General features: G+C 36.0%; 1 protein-coding gene and 3 pseudogenes across 8 annotated transcripts in view; 2 read left to right on the forward strand and 2 right to left on the reverse strand.

The window, feature by feature from the left end:
- The window catches only part of MALRD1 (MAM and LDL receptor class A domain containing 1), a 687,552-nt gene extending 683,083 nt beyond the window's left edge, over window positions 1-4,469 (forward strand). For all 8 annotated transcript variants that reach the window (XM_011519453.3, XM_011519455.3, XM_011519454.2 and 5 more), the window contains 2 exons: window positions 697-772; window positions 4,148-4,469. In XM_011519453.3, coding sequence (XP_011517755.1) covers window positions 697-772; window positions 4,148-4,228 — 157 coding nt within the window. In that variant the 3' untranslated portion in view covers window positions 4,229-4,469. The remainder of the gene's footprint in view (window positions 1-696; window positions 773-4,147) is intronic.
- MTND1P37 (MT-ND1 pseudogene 37) lies at window positions 17,163-17,426 on the reverse strand (annotated as a pseudogene).
- Window positions 17,670-17,744, reverse strand: NMTRQ-CTG1-1 (nuclear-encoded mitochondrial tRNA-Gln (CTG) 1-1; annotated as a pseudogene).
- On the forward strand, window positions 17,813-18,780 carry MTND2P16 (MT-ND2 pseudogene 16; annotated as a pseudogene).

A 27,004-nucleotide genomic window follows, 5' to 3' on the forward strand; every position in this document is an offset into this window, starting at 1 on the left:
TACAGGCGTGAGCCACCACGCCCGGCCTATAAGTCTATTAATTCTTAAGTAAAGTATAAAAGGAAAATAATCATATGGAGCCCAGTTAATTATAGTGAATTATGCACATGTAGTCCAATATGTGATATTACCAAGGGCTTGCTGTTTTTGAGTTTCATGAAACACTACCCTAAAGAACTTTTCAAAACAGTTGTATTTAAATTTGCTGATTAAAATGTTAAAGACTATGACTCATGTGCTACAGATCTTTATGACAGATACTGTCATGGAAAACAGTCTTCAGGATGTAGTGGTTTGGCACTGTGCAGTGTAAAGGACTTCAAGATGGCCTTTCTTTATCACTAGTACAGCTTCATATTACATTGTTCTTTCTAATGTTGGACACTTTGCACTGAGTAATATTTTAAGAAATCAACATTAAGACTAACTTTTGCAATTTCTTTTATTTGCCTGAGTTTATTTGGATCTAAACACTCAGAGTTCAAATTACATTTGCTTTCCTGAATGTGGTTGCCTTGGTGTCCTGCAAAAAATAAAAAATAAAAAACAAACTTTACTTATGGTAATACATTCATGAAAATAAGTGTGCTGGCTAGACAACATGTCTCTCAAAAGTTTCTAACAAACAATAACCTGAAAATGTACTATGGTAAATGTCAATAGTTTTTTATTTTTGATGGCCCTGTGTGCTTTAAGGAAAACCGAGGGAAGTGGTAACTGTGCCTTTGTCAATCCAGTTTACGGGAACTGGAGCAACCCAGAGAAAACAGAGGTAAGTGGCAAGGGTGAACTATATCTTTTCACACATATGCACACACATACAAACACACACACACACACAGGCTGAACCAGTGTTGCTTGATCATGTTTCTACATCATAACTAAAAGAAATGTTTTAGTGGAGTTATTTCAATTGGGGATAGAAAGGAGTTTCCATCTCTATAAATATGCTGTGAGAATTGTCCATTTCAGGACAGTTTCAGTCTGCTTGTAAGATCACTTCACTGTTAAATGGTGTTGTGGTCACTATTTATACTCAAAAAGAGCTGAAAAATCTGGGAAATATCAGTTTAACCCACAGAGTATTAGTCAGCTGCTTACAGTAACTATTCATTGAATGTCTTTCATATTTTATTTTCAAAAACAAAAGAGAGGATAGCATTCTATGTTCTGTTTAAATTTAGGGTGACTAGTGAGGGCCATTACCTGATAACTTAGAAGAGAAAAAACAAATGAGAATGTATTACATCTTCCTTGGCCCTTTTTGGGGCTACCCCTTATTTTTATAAGCAGGGAGAAAATGGCAAGGAAAACCTTTCTTGTTCCTTTTTTAGATTTTTTATATTTTAAGTCATTTTTAGGTATAGTTGACAAAACTTTTATATGTTTAAGGTATACATTATATTTTACTATAGGTATACATTGTGAAGTGATTACTACAATGAAACTATTTAAAATATCTATCACCTCACATAGTTTACTTTGTGTGTGTGTGTGTGTGTGTGTGTGTGCTGAAAACATTTAGGATCTCTCTTAGCAAATTTTGAGTATATCACACATTATTATAGTCACATGCTATACATTAGATCCCCAGAATTTATACATCCTGCACAAAAACTTTGCACTCTTTGATCAATATCTCATTCCTTTCTTTTTATTTTCCCATTCCTTTCTTAAGTAAGTGTTATGAGAATTCATCTGGATATAAAGTAAGTTTAGTTATGACACACCACTTCCGAACTGTAAAAGTTTTATTACATCTGAGTTTAGAGCTATATAAAATTCACTCCTTATAAAATGAGTATTATAGAAAGCTAAAGTTTTAATTATTCTCTTTCTTTATGAAAATAGGTCACAGTTTTTTATCTTGTTCCTGGTTATGAAAATGAGTAGCAAGGTATCAGGTCAGGTGGTTTCTGGTAGTTTAAGAGCCTTGAGTGCTGTGGCCGAAGCCTAACAAAGCACTTGACTTTTTAATTTTTGTGTTTTAATCAATAATGATATGATACACACTTTTAGTATTGTTTTGGTAGGAATGAAAACGGGAAGTAAATGATTTCCTAAAGCACAGAGAAAATGAATTTAGATGATTCGACAAGTAAATCAAGACAGAGTAAAAATGAAAAGGGAGACCTACTTCATGGATAAAAAAACACATACACATTTAAGAAAACAAATGTAATATATCTTTTTGACAAAATAGGATGGTGTAATATAAATATATTTTCATTTTTACTGGAGAAAGAAAATCTATTATTTATTTATTTTTTGAGACGGAGTTTCACTCTTGCCACCCAGGCTGGAGTGCAATGGTGTGATCTCGACTCACTGCAACCTCCACCTCCTGGGTTCAAGTGATTCTCCTGCCTCAGCCTCCTGAGTAGCTGGGATTAGAGGCGCCTGCCACCATGCCCAGCTAATTTTTGTATTTTTAGTAGAGACAGGGTTTCATCATGTTGGCCAGGCTGATCTCAAACTCCTGACCTTAGGTGATCCGCCTTCCTTGGCCTCCCAAAGTGCTGGCATTACAGGCGTGAGCCACTGTACCTGGCCAGAACATTTAATATTTTTTATCCTCAGCTTAGTTTAACTTTTAGTGTCTGAAAGGTACACATGAGATAAGGAATTAAAGTGAGATCTTTTCAATTTTATGTTTTTTGTATTAGTGCCTCATAAACTTGTAGTAACTAAAAAGTGGCTCGATAGGTATTATGGATTCTTTACTTTCTACTGAGATGGATTCTGTTGCATTCAGATTTGTACTTCTCAGCAAGTACAGGAAGGGGCCTCCATCAAAGACCCACCTTTCAACCTGCTTTCAAAATGGTTTCCACTGTGTGTGAGTGTGGTGGTGTAATGGATGACTTGAGAGCACCTCAGAAGTGATTTATGTTTATTTTCTATTTCGATAAAAGAAAAATTCCTTTTTCATTTTCTGTTTTCCTTTCATTATGAATGGCTAAAGAAGAAATCCTGGCACATCTCCTGACCTTTGTGGCTATTTTGATTTCTATTGTTTCAGAAACAAATGACTTTGTATTGATTAAACTAGGTCTACTTTCCCCATCATCAGAAAGATAGACTTCTCTAAGTCTATCTTTCAAACTATGTTTTAAATTATTGGAGAAAACTCTCACATTCTGATACAGAAATGGAGAGAATATTCATGGCAACATTCGTTGGCAATTCATGCCAATATTCATGGCAATATTCATTGTAAGCAACTGCCACGTGCCCATCAGCCAGCTTCAAGGACTGTCAACCCATGGTCATTGTTGTTTCACCTCTACTGCCCTCCATTTCCTCACCCTCCAGAAGGTTTTCAAACAAATTTCAAATATCATTTAATTTCAACTGTAAAGACTTCAGTTGTGTTTTTAAAGGACAAGGACTTTTAAAAATGTAACTGCAGGATCATCCCTAAACATTTAACAAGAATGTCTTGAGGCCATCAAACATTCAGTATTCATCCTACCCCAATTGTCTCATTAAAACCTAAAAGGTTTTCTTTTGGGGTTTTGTGTTGTTGCTATATTTTAAAAATCAGAAATTTTAGAAGGTATATGCATCCAAATGGGTAGATATGGCTCTTAAATCTCTTTTCATCTCTAGGTTCCATTCTGTCTTATTTTTTTTTCTTGCACATTATTTGTTGAAGAAACCAGATTGCTTGTCCTATAGAATTTCCCACGTTTTATATTATATATATATATAATATATATAATTATAGTTTACAGGAAACTTAAATGAAATGGCATTTAAACTTATATAAAATGCTTTTATTTACTTAAAGGCATTGGTTTTGTTTTGTTTTGTCTAACCTAACTATATTCAATACAGAAGGCTTAGTGAAACCAGCACCAGAGAAAGCAGTAGTCGAAATATTGGTCATTGCATTTCCCCACCCGACCAGAGGTGAGGCAGTGGTGCCTAAGTCCTGAGGACCCCAGGATACATGGAATCTAGGCTTGTGTCAGAAACTCAAGCAGTGTGGGCTGTAGGTGCTGGAAGAAGAGTCAGGGATGTTCTAGTTATTACTCCAGTGAAAATCCATTGGGACCTTTGCTGCATTCTGCGTGATCTTTAAAGAGTTTTCTTATCTTAATGCCTAAAATTCCACCCTTTCAAATGTGTTTTTCTTCGTCAGAGTTCTGTCTATTCCTTCTCAAACCCATTATATGGCACAACATCAGGAAGCCTGGAGACCCTGTCACATCATCTCAAATAGCAGCATCGAGACCAAGTCTGATCCAACATGTGTAGTTTCTAGAAAATTGAAGTCTCCACAATCTGATAGAAACTCATCTTCTACAATGGTAAAAAGAGAAAGGATTGTAAATGCCAGTGTAATTATAACATTTATGAATGAATTTTCTTGCAGAATATAGAGAATGTTTATATGGAATCAGAATCAGTACCTTATCTTCACTGAACATCTGAATATTTTAATAAAATTTCTATTTAATCAAGTTTCTTGTTTTTCTTTGATTTTATCTTTTTTTAAATGATGAATGAATTTGTTTCAGATTCTGAATATAAAGAAGTTTTAAAATGCTCTTTCTTTGCCGTATAGCTTAGAAACACAGGTGAACTGACTTGGTGTACACACGGGCAGAAATGAACAAATCAAAGAAATCCAAGGCAACATAATCATAAGTTGTTTCAGCACTTTGTAAAAAAATGTGATAAATTATCCTCCTATTCTTGCCTTTTTCAAATAATTACTTAATGCTTTTCTATAGACGTAAAAATAATGCTAAACCTATGAGTTAAGAAGCTTGTAGCTACAAGAAACTGAAAACTCCCCAAGCGAATGTCTTGAATCATGTGGCAATAATTACCCCCCAAACCAGGAAATTAGGAGATGGAGCCCCTCTTAACGATGGTCGTTGCAACACTTCCATGACCCCAGTAAGGACCTCATTGGTTGATGAGTTTCACTTCCCAGCCTGTGCTCTCAGGTTAGCTTTCCTACAGGTTAGATGAGGGCTCCATGAGCTGCAGCATCGTTGTGTTCGCAGTAAAGTTCAGAGGCAGAGAAAGGCCCATTTCTTTCTGCTTTTCATGTTTTACCAGCAAAAAAATCCCTTCCCCCACGCACTTCCCTCCACAGCATTCTTCTTATTGGCCAGCATAAACGTGGAGCTCAGGCTAAGCCAATCTCTTCAAAGGCAATGAGGCCACCATGATTGGCTGGAACTCTTCACTTATACCCCCTGCCGCTGAGAGTAGCTGTGAAGCACCTTGTGAAGCAGATGACGGTAGGTTCTTAAACGAAGTTGAAGTTAGGAAAGTTGAAGGGGATTATATCTATTAGGCAGCAATCAGCATCTAAAGGAGAGAAATGTTCCTCTCTCTAGTAATGTGTCCTGCAATCATTTCAGTGGATTTAGATAGAATGGATTAACAATCTGCCCAGGCTTTGCCCTGAAGGTGTTGAAGAGGAGAAAAGGCGTTGAAGACGGAGTCACTACCACGTGATAATCTGGGATATTTCTAAGCCGAATAGAAAGTCAGTTGTATACCATGTAAGTTTCATTATTCTATTAGTGTCTTTTGTAAAAGTATAGTCTGGCAGGGAAATATTATTTCTCATCAATGTTGCAGTAAATTGATCTCAAATTTTATCTAAATTAATTTTTTGAATGCATTATTCTTTTGCTCTGTATTATCTTTTTCTAATTGCTGCTTTCATATTGACACCAACGTTTTTGATTTGAGAAATATTAACACAAGGAAAGATCAGTAGTAGTAGCAGGTGTTGTTCCTGTCCTTGACTCAGTCTGAATCTTGGCATTGTGGGACATATGCACTTTTGAAAGCTGCATTTGTTTTAGCTTAAAACTACTAATGTTATCCACATAGATTCAGAATCTTTGCTTAAGCATACAGTATTCTTTTAAAAAGAATAGAATTAAAATTCAGCTGTGGTCTCAGTAAAGAACTTGAGGCTACTACATGAAAAATGTAGGAAAATGCAATTCCTTACACAAAAGATAATAAAGATTATTGTACAACATCAACTGGCCTGCTTCACAGGGATATTGAGAGAATTCATGACATACAAGGAGCCCCAAATACAGGTTAGTGACAGAAAATCAACAAAGAACAGAAATGAGAGTACTCTTTTTTTTTTTTTTTTAATTAAATCTACTTTAAGTTCTGGGCTACATGTGCAGAACGTGCAGGTTTGTTACATAGGTATACATGTGCCATGGTGATTGGCTGCACCCGTCAACCACTCATCTACCTTAAGTATTTGCTCTAATGCTCTCCTTCCCCTAGCCGCTCGCCCCCCAACAGGCCCCGGTGTGTGATGTTCTCTCCCTGTGCTCGTGTGTTCTTACTGTTCAGCATCCACTTATCAGTGAGAACATGTGGTGTTTGGTTTTCTGTTCCTGTATTAGTTTGCTGAGAATGATGGTTTCCAGCTTCATCCATGTCCCTGCAAAGGGCATGAACTCATTCTTTTTTATGGCTGCATAGTATACCATGGTGTATATGTGCCTCATTTTCTTTATCCAGTCTGTCAATTAAGGGCATTTGGGTTGGTTCCAAGTCTTTGTTATTGTGAATAGTGCTGCAATAAACATATGTGTGCATGTGTCTTTATAGTAGAATGGTTTACTGCCCAAAGTAATTTATAGATTAAATGCTATCCCCATCTGGCTACCATTGACTTTCTTCACAGAATAAGAAAAAAACTACTTTAAATTTCATATGGAACCAAAAAAGAGTCTGTATAGCCAAGACAATCCTAAGCAAAAAGAATAAAGCTAGAGGCATCATGCTACCTGACTTCAAACTATGCTACAAGGCTATAGTAACCAAAACAGCATGGTACTTATACCAAAACAGACATATAGACCAATGGAACAGAACAGAGGCCTCAGAAATAACACCACACATCTACAACCATCTGATCTTTGAGAAACCTGACAAAAACAAGCAATAGGGGAAGGATTCCCTATTTAATAAATGCTGTTGGGAAAATGGGCTAGCAATATGCAGAAAACTGAAACGGGACCCTTTCCTTACACCTTATACAAAAATTAACTCAAGATGGATTAAAAACTTACATGTTAGACCTAAAACCATAAAAACCCTAGAAGAAAACCTAGGCAATACCATTCAGGACATAGGCATGGGCAAAGACTTCATGACTAAAATACCAAAAGCAATGGCAACAAAAGCCATAATTGACAAATGGGATCTAATTAAACTAAAGACCTTCTGCACAGCAAAAGAAACTATCATCAGAGTGAACAGACAGCCTACAGAATGGGAGAAAATTTTTGCAATCTATCCATCTGACAAAGGACTAATATCCAGAATCTACAAGGAACTTAAACAAATTTACAAGAAAAAAAAAACCATCAAAAAGTGGGCAAAGGATACGAACAGACACTTCTCAAAAGAAGACATTTATGCAGCCAACAAACATATGAAAAAAAGCTCATCATCACTGGTCATCAGAGAAATGCAAATTAAAACCACAATGAGATACCATCTCACGCCAGTTGGAATGGTGATCATTAAAAATTCAGGAAACAGCAGATCCTGGAGAGGATGTGGAGAAATAGGAATGCTTTTACCCTGTTGTTGGGAGTGCAAATTAGTTCAACCATTGCGGAAGACAGTGTGGCAATTCCTCAAAGATCTAGAACCAGGAATACCATTTGACCCAGCAATCCCATTACTGGGTATACACCCAAAGGAGAGTACTCTTAAGGGTATTTAAATTTTTCTTCAGGTGCAAGTTATATGCACCCTAAACTGCTTAAAGCAAGTAGTTAATAAGGTGTTATAAATACAGATTGCAATTCTGTGAACCAAAAAAATAAAACTGATTTTTCTTATTCAATATGTAAAATAGTTTCAGTGCCCTTGTTCAGTTTTCTTTATTTGATATGAGATTCAGAAATGAAGAATGTAGTTTTCTTTGCATCATTTTTCTTTGGAGAACATTTTGGCATAAGTCCAAATTTGCACCATTGTGTTTGCAAAAATAGGCAAAGGTGTAAGGAGGGAAAACCAGCAGTGTACAGTGCCCAGAATTATACAACCTATTTTTCAAAACATACTTTAAGCATACAATTATATAACAACAGCAACAAGAAACACAAGTAAGTATGGATTATCTGCCAAATACTGTTCTAAGTATTTTATGTATTTTAACTCATGTAAATGTAAATAACATACCATATACTACTGTAGTAACTAGCCATATGTGGCTATTTAATTTGAAATTTAAATTACTTAAAATTACATATATATTTTTAAACTTTTATGTTTGGGGGTACATGTGCAGGGTTGTTATGTAGGTAAACTTGTGTCATGGGAGTTTGTTGTACAGATTATTTTGTCACACAGGTATTAAGCCTAGGACCCATTTTTCTTGATCCTCTCCCTCCCTCTATCCTCTACCCTTCAATAGGCGCCAGTGTCTGTTGTTCCCCACTATGTGTTCTCATCATTTAGCTCCCACTTGCAAGTGATAATATGCATACCCTTAAGCATATTGTTTTCTGTTCCCATGTTAGTTTGCTAAGGTTAATGGCTTCTAGCTCCACCCATGTTCCTGTAAAGGACATGATCTCATTCTTTTTTAGGGCTGCATACTATTCTATGGTGTATATGTACCACATTTTCTTTATCCAGTCTACCATTGACAAGCCTTTAGGTTGATTCTATGTCTTTGCTATTGTGAAAAGTGCTGCAATGAACATATGTGTGCATGTGTTTTCATAATAGAACAATTTATATTCCTTTGGGTATATCTCTCATAATGGGATTTCTGGGGCAAGTGGTTGTTCTGTTTTTAGTTCTTTGAGGAATCACCACACTGCTTTCCACAATGGTTGAACTGATTTACACTTCTATGAAGAGTGCATAAGCATTCCTTTTTCTCTGCAACCTCGTCAACATCTTGCCAGTTATTTTCTGACTTTTCGATAATGGCCATTCTGACTGTTGTGAGATAGTATCTTACTGTGGTTTTGATTTGCATCTCTCTAATGATCAGTAATGTTGAGCTTTTTTTTTAATATGCTTGTTGGCTGCATGTATGTCTTCTTTTGAGAAGAGTCTGTTCATGTCCTTCACCTACATTTTAATGGGGTTTGTTTTTCTCTTATAAATTTGTTTAAGTTTCTTATAGATTCTGGATAATAGACCTTTGTCAGATGCATAGTTTATAAAAATTTTCTCCATTTGCAGGTTGTCTTTTTACTCTGTTGATAGTTTCTTTTGCTGTGCAGAAGCTCTTTAGTTTAATTAGATTCCATCTGTCAATAAAATTAAATGAAATCTAAAATGTAGTTCCTCAGACGCACTAGCTACATTCCAAGTGCTCAGTAGCTAAATGTGCCAGTAGCTACTATATTGGGCAACTAGAGAACGTTGCCATCATCCCAATAAGTTATTTTGGTGAGCATTAGCTTAGAACAATGTTGAAATAATGTACTATAAATAGTACAGTAGGCCAGGTGCAGTGGCTCACGCTTGTAATCCCAACACTTTGGGAGGCTGAGACAGGCAGATCACAAGGTCAGGAGATCGAGACCATCCTTGCTAACACGGTGAAACCCCATCTCTACCACAAATACAAAAAAATTCGCCGGGTGTGGTGGCGGGCACCTGTAGTCCCAGCTACTCAGGAGGCTGAGGCAGGAGAATGACGTGAACCCGGGAGGCGGAGCTTGCAGTGAGCTGAGATCGCGCCACTGCACTCCAGCCTGGGTAACAGAGTAAGACTCCATCTCAAAAAAAAAAAAAAAAAAAAAAAAAAAATAGTAGAGTAGTCTTTATCCACCTAATTGGTGCTCTGATTATTTCCCAGTATGTGTATTTTAACCAGAAACAGCCAGTTTTCACATGATAATAAATTAAAAATAATACAAAGGATATTGAGCTGAAAGCAAATGTATGTGAAGTTCATTTTAATGTTTTCTCACAATATAAATGTGTTATGTCATTCTATTATATCCATATCATCTTTGAATATTCCTTTTTATATTTAGATGGAACATTGAAAAAACTATGTAAGAGTTTGCTTTTCCCTTTTTAGCTTCCTGTTCTTCAATCATTTTTCATATTTATCACACAAAGAACTGAAGATTCACGTTCTCCTTGAAATACTAACTGCATTGTGTTTGGCTTTAAGGGTATACCTTTAGATAAACGAATTACTATATCCAGGGGAATGTTTTTTGCTATAAGTAGTCTTAAATTTCATTCCTATAAATAAAAACCAGGGAAAATTCATCATGAAACATAAAAAGACTGGACTTTTTTTTTCCCTAATGGCCTTTAAAAAAAAAAATCAAACATAAGTGTATGTTTCAATGTCAAACCAATGACAGCTTTGCAATTCCTAATGTGATTTTGCTTTTCTTTGTGTCAACTTGCAAAATGCTTTGCATTTCATTGTTAATATGTCTATAAAACCAATGCAAGGGTTAGTACCTAAAGCAAGTAATCATCAAACTCAAGAACCTACTCTTTAAATAATTAATTACGAGTGGAAAGGCACCACTTTCTACACGCATCCACTTGTGAAATTTTAATGAAACTAGGTACAAGCTATATCTTGAATTAAAGGACTCTATATCTGTGAATCAATTTGAGTATGCGTGAACAAAAAATAAATGATTATAATATTTAAGGACCTACTTAAAAGTTCACAGTGATACATGTCATTAAACATTCTGAGAAAGTAAAGTGCTCTAAAAAGCACGTTTTCTTCTCTAGAATGGAGAAGCAATAATAAAGAGTTTTTGTTTTTCTAATTATTTAAATTTTTGCTTATTTATTTAGGCGTGGTCTGGCTCTTTTAGAGGTAGCTTCCTTGAAACTTCATAATATCTATCCAGAGTTTTGTTACTGAGAAATCTGCTCATTAAATTAGCATAATTATCTGCAGTCAGTGTAATATAATTTAGGGCTAATAAAAGAAATGCCATCCTAATAGATCAGCAATGACAAATCTAGTTTTTTTATCCAGTTTCTTACTAAAACTATTACATAAATATTTAATCTATTAATAACCATAAACTAATGGTTAAAGAAAAGATTTAGTCACTGTGACAAAACTTGACTTGCTATTAATTTGTTCGACAAATCTTTTTTTTTTTTTTTTTTTTTTTTGAGACAGAGTCTCGCTCTTTCGCCCAGGCTGGAGTGCAGTGGCGCGATCTCTGCTCACTGCAAGCTCCGCCTCCCGGGTTCACGCCATTCTCCTGCCTCAGCCTCCCAAGTAGCTGGGATTACAGGTGCCCGCCACCACGCCCGGCTAATTTTTTGTATTTTCAGTAGAGACGGGGTTTCACCGTGTTAGCCAGGATGGTCTCGATCTCCTGACCTCGTGATCCGCCTGCCTCGGCCTCCCAAAGTGCTGGGATTACAGGCGTGAGCCACCGCGCCCGGCCTCGACAAATCTTTTTAAAGAATTTTTATAGTGAAAGAAGTAAGAGAAGGCAATAAGGAAGTGAGATGACAGCTGAGTAACAAACAATGTGTATAATGTGGCCATTGCCCATCTATCCTCCTAGGACATCTACCTTCTAGATGCCAGCCTCATAATTATTCTCTCATCAGTACTGGAGTTTTTTCAAGCATACAAGGTAAGAAATTAATGAAATAGAAACACATATAAAATAAAGTCGGTAAACAAAACTAAATATTGCTTTTATGAAAACAGTGATAAATCCTTGATGAGACAAAAATTGATAAACCTCTGGCAAAAACAAATTACAAAATGAATAATAAACACTTAAAAATCAGAGAAAAAAGACAATGCACAAATAGCCAATGTCAGAAATAAAAATGATATAATCACCCCAGATCTTACAAACATTAAGAGGATAAGTAAAATGTTTATTGAAAAGCTTTATGACAAAAATAATCAAAATTCAGTGGAAATAAATTTCTGAAAAATGCAAGTTTTCTAAAACAAACATAAGAAATATAAGAGCTAAGTAGTCCTATAACAAAGTAGTTGATTCATGTTAAATAATCTTCCTTCAACAAATTCTAAGTTCGTAAGTTTCACTGCAGCAGCATAATTAAGGAATCAGAGAGACCGAGGGGTTGAGGAGGAATTATTTAATTATTTAGGTGCACCCACCCAGTCGGATTAACATCCAAAGGACTGAGCCCCGAACAAAGAGTCCGGTTACCTTTTAAGCATTTTGTGGGGCAGGGGGAGATCTGTGCAGGGGGAAGCATATTACAGAAGCGAGAAACAAAGACAGTTATTCAATTAAGACATGCATTACATCATTTCTTACTTTTCAAGGAACAACATGTTTTACGACTTGAGTTTATCTGCCTAGTGACCTTGCAGCTGCACTGCTAGAGAAACAGGGTCTTCACAATGCCTGGGAAAGGGAGAGATAAGGCTCACTAGCCACAGAAAAACAGGCAGTTAATTTTAAAGGACTCCAGCTCTTTCTCTTCTTCAGGAGGAATTGGATTTTCTTACATACAACTGAGTATTTGCTTACACATTCTTTAATTTCTTTTAATTCCTGTTCTGTCACTAGCAACTTTTAAGAATTAATCACATTTGGCCAGGCACAGTGGCTCACACCTGTAATCCCAGCACTTTGGGAGGCCGAGATGGGTGGATCATGAGGTCAGGAGATGGAGACCATCCTGGCTAACATGGTGAAACCCCGCCTCTACTAAAAATACAAAAAAATTAGCCAGGCATGGTGGTGGGAGCCTGTAGTCCCAGCTACTTGGGAGGCTGAGGCAGGAGAATGGCGTGAACCTGGGAGGCGGAGCTTGGAGTGAGCTGAGATCACGCCACTGCCCTCCAGCCTGGGTGACAGAGTGAGACTCCACCTCAAAAAAAAAAAAAAAAATTAATCACATTTAATTAATTTAATTTCATTTCATTTAAGAATTGACCAACTTCTACAAGTACTTTCAAAGAACAGGAAAAGATGTAATACTTCCCAATACATGTCATGAGCACAGCATAGTTTTGATACAAACCCTGACAAAGACATTGTAAGAAAGAAAAATTTTAGACCAATGTTACATATAAACACAAATGTGAAGCGTTGTATGCATATAATATATATTATGTCATATATGATGTGAAGTAATAAATATATATAATATAAATGTGTGATATAATATAAATACATGATATATGTGAATAACCAAATATGTATGTGTGTATATATATATTATAAATTATATATTATATATATATATATATCTGTTTTTATAGTTACTCTATGAATGCAAGTTTGGTTTAACTTAAAACCTCAGTGTAACTCAACACATTAGCGGAATGAGAAACAAGTACATGATAATTATAATAGGTGCATAGAAAACATTTGGTAAAATACATCTGTTCATAATAAAAATTTTTAGAAAACTAGGAAATGAAGGAAAGTTAACATTATTAATATAATAAAAGGCATCTGCAAAAAAACCTCACAGCATATTTAATGGTAAAATGTTGAAAACTTTCACTTTGATATGAGGAATAAGCCAAGTATACCCACTATTGCCACTTCTTTCAAGATATTTTAACTGCTTACTGGGTATCTTAGTGAGAAAATAAGACATGAAAAAGAAATATAAGTTATAAGGACTGAAAAGGAAAAAACTGCTGTAATTATTTACAGCTAGTATGATTGGTTACACAGAAAGTTTAGAACAATTTCAAGGTTAATAAATTAATTATTGACTTTATTAGGTTTGTTAGTTATACAATTAATATATAATGTTTAATTTCTATAGATCTTGAAACAAATATAAAATAATTAAGTAAAATCATAAGTTAAAAATAAATACATTAGAATAAATTTTACAAAAGACACATATAACTTAAAAATTTTAATGAGCGATATTAAAGAAGACATATAGAGACACATACTATGTATTTTTTTCAAATTGATCTTTAAAGATTCAGTTAAATTCTTACCAAATTTCTGCCAGATATTAAAGACCTGAGGAACTGATTCTAAAATGTATAAGGAAATGCAGTGACCTAAAATTAGCCAAGAAAGTCTTGAAGAATGTGGTGTGAGGAATTCTTTATTGAAGATCATATATAAAGTTAGCATAATTTTCGCATTGTGATATTGTCTATAAAGATAGACAAACCAAAGGGAAAGAATACATATCCCAGAAATAGACACCCACACAGAGGGATATCTGATTTCCAACAGATGGGGCACTGCAAAATAGTGCAGAAAGGGCATTTTCAATGATGGGCTAAAGCTTTGTTTCCATGCAGAAAAATTAGTGAAACCTGACATCCCCCACCTACTTTATGTGAATATCAGTTCCAGGTGGGTTTTATTGAACAAATGTTCCCCAATTTATGATGGTTTCATTTAGGATTTTTTGACTTTACAATGCTATGAAAGGAATATTCAGTAGAAACTGTACTTTGAGTACCCACACAACCATTGTTTTTCACTTTCTGTATGGTGTTCAATAAATTACATGAAATATTCAACAATTTATTATAAAACAAGCTTTTTGTTACGTGCTTTTGTCCAACTGTAGGCTAATGTAAGTGTTCTGAGCATGTCTTGAGTAGACTAGGCCAAGCTATGAAGTTTGTTAAGTTGAATGTGTTGAATGCATTTTTGGCTTATGATATTTTCAATTTGCAATGCGTTTATCAGGATGTAACCCCATCATAAGTGGAGGAGCATCTGTCCGTCTAAATGTGAAAGACATAACACTAAACCTCCTAGAATGACCTAGAATATGATCTATACAAAAATATGATTGTTATCTCCATAAGAGGAAGACTTCTTAAATGAGCACAAAATTAACCATAAAAGATTAATAAATTGGATGATACTAAATTTAGACACTTCTGTTCAACAAGATGCCATTAAGAGATGAAAAAGAGTGAACTACATACAACTAATAAGATACATATACAAAGAATATATTTTTATTACTCTATCACCCAGGCTTGAGGACAATGGTGCAATCATGGCTTACTGCAGCCTCAATCTCCTGGGATTAAACAATCCTCCTGCCTCAGCCTCCAGAGTAGCTGGGACTACTGGTGTGTGCTTTTTATTTTTTTATTTTTATTTTTGGAGAGACAGTACTTCAGGATGTAGTTCAGGCTGGTCTCAAACTCCTGATCTCAAGTGATTCTCCTGCCTTGGCCTCTCAAAGTGCTAGGATTACAGGCATGACCCACCATGCCTGGCCAGAACATATTTTTTTTTAACTCTAAATCCATAAGAAAAAAGCAACAGAAAAATTAGCAAGACACTTGAACATGAAATTCACAAAACAAAATGAGCAAGTAATCATATGAATACATCCTAACCTTGTAAATTATCTGGCAAATCCAAATTAAATGTACAACTAGGTAGCACTAGATAATTGGTTCATACATACTACCACTTGCCAAGCAGAATGGCTAAAATTTGAGAAGACTGACAATACTAAATGTTAGTGTTATAGACTGACTGTGTCTCCCCAGATTCATATGTTCAGTCCTAACCCCCAATGTGATAGCATTTGGAAATGGGGCGTTTGTGAGGTAACTAATGTTAGCTGAGGTCATGAGAGTGGGACCACCATGATGGGATTAGTGGCCTTATGAAAGACACCCAGAGAAACCTCTCTCTGTGTCCCTCTCTGTCTCTTTCTCTCTTTCTCTTTCTCCCTGCCTCTGCCTGTCTCTCTCTTTCTCTGTCTCTCTCTATTTCTCTGTCTCGCTCTCCATTATGCCTTGCATGCGAAAAAAATAGATCATGTGAGCACACAATGAGATGGCAGCTGCCTAAGGCCAAGAGGAGTTTTCAAAATGAAACCTACCCTGTCAGCACGTTGACCTTAGACGTCCCAGCTTCCATAACTGTGAGAAATATGTTTCTGTTGTCTGAGCCACCAGACTATGGTGTTTTGTTACAGTAGCCCAAGTTCACTAAGACAACTGGCAAATACCAAGGATGCTGCCAAGAAACTGTTGACAATGCCTAGGAAATGAAGCAACTAGACTTTCATACCTACTGCTAAGAGTGTAAATGTGTCATTATCTTCTAAAGCTGAGCATATGGTTGCCTCATAACCCACCATTCACCCCCTTCAGGAATTCCATATATATGTCAATCCAGGAATTATATATATATATATATATATATATATATGTCTCCAATAAAATGTGCAACCAGTATACGAAATTGCATACATATGTGGATTGAGAGACATATATAAGAATAATGATCACCACATTATGATAAATAGGAAAAAAGCCAAATATCTGTCAATCGTGTGTGTGTCTGTATAATACATTAAGTAAAGTGTAGCATAGTAATAAAATAGAACAATAGAATGAACAAACTATAGTATATGCAACAGTGTCGAATCTCACAAACACAACGTCCAGGAAAGAGGATAGATGCAAAAACATATATATTAGTAATATAGTATTTAGGTGTGCAAGTCTAGGTGGTGAAATTATGAAAGAAAATATGAAAAGGAGATCTTGACAATTACCTACTTTTTGACTTAGAAGCTATCACACAACCATGATTTATGTGATAATTCATGAAACTGTATTTTGATTTTTTTAAGTTGAGATAATTCATATACCATAACATTTACCATTTAGCCTATTATACAGGTATCACGAAGACATTCTCCATTGCATAAGCTTACATCAGACCGGAATAACCCACTGATAGTTAACAGCCTAGTATTAATAAACAATATAATAAGCACCCTATTATTTACACTGTTAACCCAACACAGCCATGCTCTAAGGAAAGATTACAAAAAGTAAAAGGAATTCAGCCAATCTTACCCCGCCTGTTTACCAAAAACATCACCTCTAGCATTACCAGTATTAAAGGCACTGCCTTCCCAGTGATATATGTTCAATGGCTGTGGTATCCTGACTGTGCAAAGGTAGCATAATCACTTGTTCCCTCGACAGGGGCTTGTATGAATGGCCACACAAGGGTTCAGCTGTCTCTTTTAATCAATGAAATCGACGTATCCATGAAGAGGCGGATATAAACAAATAAGACAAGAAGACCCTATGGAGCTTTAATTCATTAATGCAAATAAAAACTCAAACAAGCCTAGAGGCCCTAGCCTACTATCCCTGCATTAAAAAATGTGGTTGGGGTGACCTCAGAGCATAATTCAACCTCCGTAGGGAGGGGACTTTGTAAGAGGAGAGCGATAGAAAGGGTCAGGTTTGGAGCAATAATATAAAGGGTAATAGTAGATGTTGAGGGCGGTAAAGGTTCTTTGGTGAAAAGTTTTATTGCATCAATGAATGGTTGAAGCAGGCCATAGGGACCTACAATGTTGGGTCCTTTGTGTGGTTGTATATAGCCTAAACTTTTTCTTTTGATGAGTGCAAGGAACGCTATAACGGTAAGAGTGGGGATAAGGAGAAGGTTAATTATAGGCATATTGTTAAGAAGAGGAGTTGAAATTCTGATTATAAAGTTTTAGGTTTTATGCAATTGCTGGGCTCTGCCATCTTAACAAACTTAGCACTTACACTAGCATTTTTGCATATGACATATCTCAATGCCTGTCTTAATTTCCAGCATCCCACACCAAACATATGAAATATGTCTGACAAAAGAATTACTTTGATAGAGTAAACAATAGAGGTTAAAATGCTCTTATTTCTAGGATTTGAAATAATTCCTAGGTTCTATAGGAATTGAACCTACCCCTGAGAATCCAGAATTCTCTGTGCTACCTATTACACCACGTCCTAGAGCAAGGTCAGCTAAATAAGCTATCGGGCCCATACCTCACAAATGTAGGTTACACCCTTCCCGTACTAATTAATCCCTTAGCTCAACTTAGTATTTCTCTTACTATTTTCACAGGAACTCTTATCACAATGCTAGGCTCACACTGATTTCTCACCTGAACAGGCCTAGAAATAAACAAACTAGCCTTACTCCAATCTTAATTTAAAAAATAAATCCCTGCTCTACAGAAGCAGCCACCAAATATTTCCTTACACAAGCAAGCACATCTATAATTCTTATAATAGACATCCCTCCCAATAACCTGGCTTCCAGACAATGAAAAATTATAAACACTATCAATCAATTCTCATTCTTAATAATAGTGGCCCTAGTAATAAAACTAGGAATAGCCCCCTTTCACTTCTGAGTCTCAGAGGTAACCCAAGGAATCTCTGTAATGTCTGGTATACTTCTGATATGACAAAAACTAGCCCCTATCTCGATTATGTTTCAAATTTTCCCATCAACAAACATGAACATCCCCTTATCTATCAGAATCCTATCCATTAGAGTGGGCAGTTGAGGGAGACTTAATGAAACCCAACTGTGTAAAATCCTGGCCTACTCCTCAATCACTCACATAGGTTGAATAACAGCAGTACTAATTTATAACCCAAATATTACCACCCTAAACCTGATTATTTACCTTATCTTAACAACAGCCGCATTTCTAGCACTCAACCTGAGTGTAAGCACCACAACCCTGTCACTATCTCACGCCTGAAACAAATGAGCATGGCTGACACCTGTAATTCCACTAATTCTACTATCCCTAGGAGGTTTACCCCCATTAACAGGGTTCCTGCCTAAACGCATCATCATCCAAGAACTTACAAAGAGCAATAGCCTTATTACCCCTATATAAATTATAAAATTCAGTGATTTTTATATATATTCTCATCTTGTGCATCTATTACCACAGTCTAATCCCAGAATGTTTCTGTCACCTCAAAAACATATTCCATATCTGTGAGCCCTTATTCCCAATTCTCCCTTTCCCACATTACCTGACAATCAGTAATGCGCTTTCTGTCTTTGTAGATTTCCCTATTCTAGATACTTAATATAGACAAAATTATCTACTTCTCTGCAGAATTCACAGAAAAATAGGGAACTTATATAATATGTAACTTTTTATGTCTGGCTTCTTTCACTTAGCTAATGTTTTCAAGATTGTCAATGTTGTAGGGTGTTCTACTACTTTAATACTATGTATTGTTGAATAATATATAGATATATGGATATATTTATATGGTATAGATATGTCATATTTTGTTTGTACATTCATCAGTTGATAAAATGAATTATTTCCACTTTTCAGCTATTATGAATAGGTCTGCTGTGCACATTCATGTATAAGTTTTTGTGTGACAAGTAGTTTCAATTATCTTGTGTAGGTATCAAGGAGTAAGATTACTGGGTTATATTTTTTAACTTCTTCAGATATCACCAAACTATTTTCCACACTGATTGCATCATTTACATTCTTACCAGCAATGCATGAGGTTTCCAGTTTCTCCATATTGTCACAAAGATTTGTTAATATCCATGTTTTTTATTGTAGCCACCCTAGTGGTGATAAAGTGGTGTTTTGTGGTTTTAAGTTGGATTTCTCTAATGACTAATAATGTTGGGAATCTTTTCATGTGCTTGTTAGCCATTTGTATATCTTCTTTGGAGATCTGTGTAATGAATTCTTAAAATTTTTTGTTGCATCTGTATCCATTTTCAATACAAGTTTAACTTTCTCACACCAGAATCAGCACTAATTTACCCTTGACACAGTGTCCAGTCTAGACCACACCCAGATTACTCAAGCTGGTGGCCAGAGATGAGAACTCAGGAACTCCTTTTCTGTCTAGGAGACTGGGATTCCCTCTTTCCTGCCACTTCCTTTAAATGCACTATTCAAGCATTTGCCCAAAAACTTAAAGTGATCCACACCCTATTTCCTTATATATACTTTCATGAGCTCATTCTCTTTCTGCCTGACTCTTCATTCCTGCCTACATGATACAAGGATAAAGGACCACCCTTCTGACTCATTGCACCCTCCTTGACCAGGATCTGTAAGTAAAAACCTTTGAACTTGTTCCCTATTGTGGTGGTGTATTAAATTTGCGCTTTCTACCTAAAGCACCAAGGGTTGCTCCAGGTTGAGCTTTGCTTGGGACACCAGAAGAGAACACAAGGTCAGGTTCCTAGCCCCAGAGCCTTAGTCAGAGAATCATAAACTTGACACATTGCAGAAGAGCCACAAGGGCATCTGCCAGTGTAAACACGTTTCCCATGTGAGAGACAATCCCCTAGTCACAGGTTGGACAACAAGGCTTCAGGTCACCTGCCAGGTAAAAGAAGTATCACATGAAAAGCACAGAGTAAACACCCACATCTAGTTCTTCGTTGTATTGTGTTAGGGGCGGGTTGCTAGCTTCTCTAGTACTAGAACCTCAGTTTAGCTGGGAGCTCCAAAAACAAACTGTCTACTCAAATACTTTGGCCATTTTTCATGGACTTATTTTTAAATTGTTGAGTTGTAAGTGTTCTTTATATATTGTGGATACTAGACCCTTATCAGACAGATGATTTGCAAACACTTTCTGCCATTCTGTGGGTTGTCTTTTTGCTTCCTTAATCGTGTCCTTTGATGTACAATTTGTTTTTATTTTTATGATGTATGATTTCTTTATGTTTTGCCCTTGGTTGTGTGTTAGATGTTATATCTAAGAAACTCTTGCCAATTACAAGGTCAAGAAGATTTATACTGTTCTCTTCTAGAGTTTTTCTTGAGATTCTTGCATGTGTATAGTTCTTTGAAATCAAATTTGAGAAATATTTGCCCATATTTCTTCATATGTTCTTTCTGGCCATTTTACTTTTCCTCCTTCTTATGGGCCTCCCATGAGTGGTTGTTGGTGTACTTCATAGTTCCCACAGATCTCTGAAGTCTGTTCATTTTCCTTCATTTATTTTTCTTTCTGTTTCTCATACTAGAGAATTGTATGATCTTTAAATGTATGGCTTCTTTCTTCTGCATGCTGGAATCTGCTTTTGAGACCCTCTAGTAATCTTTTTAAAATTTCAGTTATTGTATTTTTCATCTGCATAATTTTAGTTTAGTTCTTTTTTATAATTTCAATATATTTGTTGATATTCTGTATTTGGTGAGACCTAATTTTTATGCTTTCTAAATTTTTATGCTTTCAGCTCTTAAAAATGACAGTAAAGGAAACAAAATTTATAAATACCATAGATATTTTAGTAAAAGCAAAAAATATTTATTGGTTAAAAACACAAAAACACTTACTGTATACAAAACATACACCTAATGTAAAGTGAAGTTGAAAGTAGAGTGGTGAACTAAGTCATATTTTTTTAAATGTCAGCAAAATCAAATTCTGATTAAGAAAATTAATATTTGAAAAAGCTGAAGCCAAGGAAATATCATTAAGTGTTACTGGGAGCTCTTATTATGCTTATAAAGAATATGATAAGAATATGATAGCATAACTGCCACGAATCCTCTTTACCAAATCACATAATATTTAAATATATAAAGAAAAAAATCCTCTGAGTAGAAAACAATACTAGGGAGAGATTTAAACATAATTGTCCCTGTCATTAGCAAATCAAATACATCAAAAACTTAAGTGTATAAGGTATAAATAATAAGGCTAGTCTAGAAACACATAAAAATCTATACCCTGTCAAAAACATCTTTCCAAGCTCCATGAAATATTTATAAAAATTGATCATTAAAAGAATCCTAAAAAAATCAATACATTAACATCACCTGAATTGATTATGTTCTCTTTTCAAAAAGCAATGGAAATCATTATGGCCTAAGTAGAAACCAAACTGAAACTTATTTACCTGACGGAAAATTAAAATCTGTCTCAGATGCAACTGTTAATAAGAAGAGATAAAAGAACGGTTTGATTGTGTAATATATTTGAGGATTGGTGACAAAGAGTTATCTTTTATGAGATGTCACCAAAGATGTATGCACATGAAGATTTGTCACTTTACTTATTTTGCCAGTAGATATAAGGATAATTTAATTATGTATTTAATTCAATTAAAAATGGCAAAAGAATAACAAACCTATGGACTACATTAAAAACTGACTAATAAAGATCAAATGGGAAATTTGACAAATTATAGCACACGGGCATATGTTAAAACTGATTATGAGACCCATGCACTTCAACGGTAATAAAAGAGATAAGCTACCAGCTTGTTCAATAAAGTAAAGAAAATATGAAAATCACGAAGAGAAACGAGATAAGGAAAAGCTTTACAACTACTGGCCAGATTTTGAAACTTTAAAAAGTTATTTGTACTAATGAAGGCTAATCAATTTGAAAACCTAGGTAAAATTTATGATTTTCTAGGGAAATGTCAATAAAAAATTGAGGCAACAGATAACAGAAATCATGGAGTAATAACTATAGCAGACATTCAGAAATCCAAAAGCAAAGATGATTTCAAAGGAAATTATTTCAGATCTTCTAGAAAAATATTTACATGTGATTTGGCCAGGCAAGGTGGCTCATGCCTGTTATCCCAGCACTTTGGGAGGCTGAGGTGGGTGGATCACTTGAGGCCAGCAGTTCGAGACCAGCCTGGCCAATATGGTGAAACCCAGTCTCTACTAAAAATACAAAAATTAGCTGGGCATGTTGGTACGCACCTGTAGTCCCAGCTACTTGGGAGGCTGAGGCATGAGAATCACTTGAACCCAGGAGGTGGAGGTTGCAGTGAACCCAGATTGTGCCACTGCACTCCAGCCTGGGGAACAGGGTGAGACTCTGTCTCAAAAAAAAAAAAAAAAAAAGGATATTTACATGCGATTTAAGCAATTCTATACCATTGTTCTCCTTTTTCAATTGTGATACCTGCCTTACTATGTCAAAAAACTGGAATACAGCAAAGAAAATATAATTTTGACAGATGTTACTTATATAGATTGATATAAAATTATGAAATAAATGTTACCAATCCCAGGTATGTCAATGAAGTTCTCTCTAGTGGGAATTTGCATCTTAAACAAAGACATAGAATGGAAAGTGGTTATGAAGTGAACAAGGCTGAAGCACCTGAGAGAAATGCCTGGAAACATGATGACCTTACTCCTGATATGGCCATTCGCAAAGCAAACCTACATCATATTCTTCATGGATTCTGGTTGTTCTGCTTTTCTCTTTAATTCTGAGAGCTCCCTGGTATCCTTCCAGTGTGTCTTTTTTTTCTTGCTTAAGTTATTAAGGTTAGTTTCTGTTGCTAAACAACCAAAGAATACCAACTTAAGCAACATAAGTTGGTGCTTTTCTTAGTTCTGGCTGCTATAACAATGTATCCTCAACTGGGTTGCTTAAAAAACAGACATTTATTTCTCAAACGTCTCGAGGCTGGGAAGTCCAAAATCAAGGGGCCAACAAGGCAAGTTTCTGAGGCCTCATGGCTTGGAGGTGGATGCAATCTCCATTTGTCCTTATATGACCTCTTTTTTGTGTACACTCAAGCAACCTCGCTGGTGTCTCTTCTTTATTTATTTATTTATTTTTGAGATGGAGTCTTGGTCTGCTGCCCAGGCTGGAGTGCAGTGGCGCAATCTGGGCTCACTGCAACCTCTGCCTCCTGGGTTCAAGAGACTCTCCTGCCTCAGCCTCCCAAGTAGCTGGGATTACAGGCGTGCACTACCACACCCAGCTCATTTTTGTATTTTTAGTAGAGATGGGGTTTCATCATGTTGACAAGGCTGGTCTTGAACTCCCGACCTCAGATGATCCACCCACCTTGGCCTCCCAAAGTTCTGGGATTACAGACTAGCCACCATGCCCGGTCTGGTTTCTCTTCTTATAAGTGCACTAATCCCATCATGAGGGTTCGACCTTCATAGCCTCATTTAATATTAATTAATCTCCTAAAGGCCTCATATCAAATACCATCCCATTGAGGTTAGGGCCTCAACATTTGAATTTTGGGTGTACACAAACTTTCGTTTCATAATACTACCGTTATAAGAACCTACCATTTTTGCCATTATTAGTTCATAGATAATATGCGTGGGAAATATATTATGAATTGGCTGAGAATACAAGAGAATAACAATGCAACTTCAGATGCAGATGGGGACCTGGGAATGCAGACAAGGAATGTGTTAGAAAAATGTATCCCTTCAGGTTTCCAATAATTCTTCCACGTCTTCTTTACAGATACTTTTGCATATTGCCTGTTATTCAGGATTAATCATAATCAATCACAAGTTAAGTTTTTCAGAAAAAAAATTATTAAAATAACAAAAAAAAAATTTGATTTTTTTTTTTCTATTTTTTGAGATGGTCTCACTCTTTCACCCAGGCCGAAGTGCGGTGGCATCATCACGGGTCACTGCAACCTTAACCTCGTAGGCTCAAGTGATCCTCCCACCCCAGTTTCCCAAGAGTCTGGGACTTCAGGCATATGCCACCACACCCAGCTATTTTTAAAATTTTTTTGTAGATACAACATCTCACTACATTGTGCAGGGTGGTCTCAAACTCCTGAGCTCAAGTGATTCTCCAGCCTCAGCCCCCCAAAGTGCTGGGATTATAGGTATGAGCTACCATGCCCAGTCAAAATATTATATTGATAGATTTTCAGAAGGTGTAATGGTTAATATTGAGTGTCAACTTGATTGGATTGAAGGATACAAAGTATTGTTCCTGGATATGTCTGTGAAGATATTGCCAAAGGAGATTATCATTTGAGTCATTGGACTGGGAGAGGCAGATCCACCCTCAGTCTGGGTGGGCACCAACTTACCAGCTATCAGTATGGCTAGAATAAAGCAGGCAGAAGAAAGTGGAATGAGGGAGACTTATTGAGTCTTCATCTTTCTCCTGTGCTGGGTGCTTCCTGCCCTCGAACATCAGACCCAAGTTCTTCAGCTTTTGGACTCTTAAACTTACACCAGTGGTTTGCCAGGGGCTCTCAGGCCTTTGGCCACAGACTGAAGCCTGCACTGTTGGCTTTCCTACTTTTGAAGTTTTGGAACTTGTACTGACCCACGACTTCCTTGCTCCTCAACTTGCAGATGGCCTCTTGTGAGACTTTACCTTGTGATCCTGTGAGTTAATTCTCCTTAATAAATGCCCTTTCATGCATACATATATACTACTAGTTCCGTTCCTCTAGAAAACCCCTGACTAATACAGAAGGCATTACGTGCTTTGAGAACAGACTGTAAGAGCAGAACGATAAAAATACCTTAAAAATAAAACTCATGAAAGGTTATCACTGAATTAGCAAAGTTATTAAAATTGCTTTTAAAATAAATCAGGAAGGATCACAATAAATATTTACTTGGCAAATTTTGCATTCATTTGGTCTAGTAGACTCCAATAAGCACAATTCCACTTTACTTTGACTTTCCTAGTGAACATTCTATGGTGAGACATTCTGAGGAGGTGATATGTTATTCCTCACAAATCAATGTATAGGACCTTACTTTTGCTGCAGATGCAAATGTGTAAAGTACTGAACTGTACAAATCTTGAAACACATTAAAATACATGTCACAATACTGTTCATTATTAATCTGCTCATGGAAACAAATTTCAGGAAGTAGAGGGTATTTAATGTCAAATTAAAGCAGACTTGTGATAGAACTCGACACTATAATCACATTAATATCAAAAATGATAATAATTGATGTCAGTGTGCCTGAAAAATAGTAATGATTTCTCAGCTAAAGAAAGAAGGAAATCTATTCATTTAAATGGCATTAAATCTGTCCAGGTATATAAGTAGCACATTCAAACCCATATATAGTTCTATCCCATGTCTGTACACCAGTGTTACATTACAGGCCGCAAAAGGAAAACTCTTTTTGTCCAGAAAATGTGCAGTTTAACAGAGAACTTTGTAGTGATGGTAGAACAAAGTACTGATAAAAGCATAGCATTCTCAAGAACAATATAGAGAGATAGAAATAGAGATAGAGATACATGTCTATGTGTATGTATATATATATAGCGAGAGGAGCGAGAGAGAGAGAGAGAGAGAGAGAGAGAGATTGGTTCCGGTCTGTGTCAAATCATGAAATTGAGGCTTAAGTCCTTTCTTTTGCTACCCTCTTTAGTCTACTCCAGTCTAATTGTGGCCATGATGGAAAGAAGTCACGTCTCTGCACCTGCCCAGGCAAGCCAAGTGTCTCAGTGCGCCTGGTAGGAAATTCTTAGGTCACGCCCTCTCTATGCCTGCACAGTTCTTGGGTCCCGGGAGCTCTGTTTCTTGGGAAGAATCCCGTGTGATAGTCTGGAGGCAGATCTTTCCCTTACATGTAAAAAATAGTAAGGAACTTATAGATTCCTTAATCTGTAAGTTAAGATCAACTTCTCACATGAGACTTTTTTTTCTTTTTAATCACCTTTTAAGTTGCTAAAATTGGTCAGTTTTCATTCTAATAATGTGCCTATTAGAAAATGTATTTTTTAGTAGTATCAGAAAGAAATCCACCAGTTTTTCTTAAATTTGTACATTTTTCTACAAAATAAATTCCTCTAGAAAATTTTGATTACAAAAGGATCTTGGAATTTCACTTTTTGAAGAACATTTGATGGAGTATATCAGATTCAGAGATACTGTATCATATAATAAATAGAATAAAATATGGAACATTTTATTTAAAATTGTAAATGTTAACAGAGGAAAACAATGCAGAGTCACCTGTGCCCTACATATAGAGACAAGGCACATTATGCGCGTGCCAAACAGGATTTCTGTGATCTAGAAATTTCTGAAAGCAAATTTTAAAATTTTTGAGAGCACTAGAAATTTTTCTCCTAATGGATACCTATTTGGCAGATGCCCACTTGCAGTCTCCCGAAACATTTGCATTTTTCCACACTTACGATGCTTGCAAGACACAAATATGAAAATAGACTATTTCTGAGTCAAAAGACTGCCAACCAGTGCTTGGTATTATACATTTCAATGCTTGGTCATTTCATGTTGCCAAAGTAATTAAAACCAATTCTTTGAAATTGAATTGCTCATTTGATGTGTCTTACATTAATTGCAGAACCACCTACAGCACTGAAAATGCTCGTCCAACAGAGGCTATCTTCCCCCCAAAAATCCTAGTTCAAAATGATTATTTCTATCTGAGGTTACAGAAAAAGCTTCTACAATAGGCACATATCAATTCTGCACAGTTCAGCTCGCCCTTCTATGAT

The sequence above is a fragment of the Homo sapiens genome, chromosome 10, assembly GCF_000001405.40.
Source record: "Homo sapiens chromosome 10, GRCh38.p14 Primary Assembly".
NCBI lineage: Eukaryota > Metazoa > Chordata > Mammalia > Primates > Hominidae > Homo > Homo sapiens.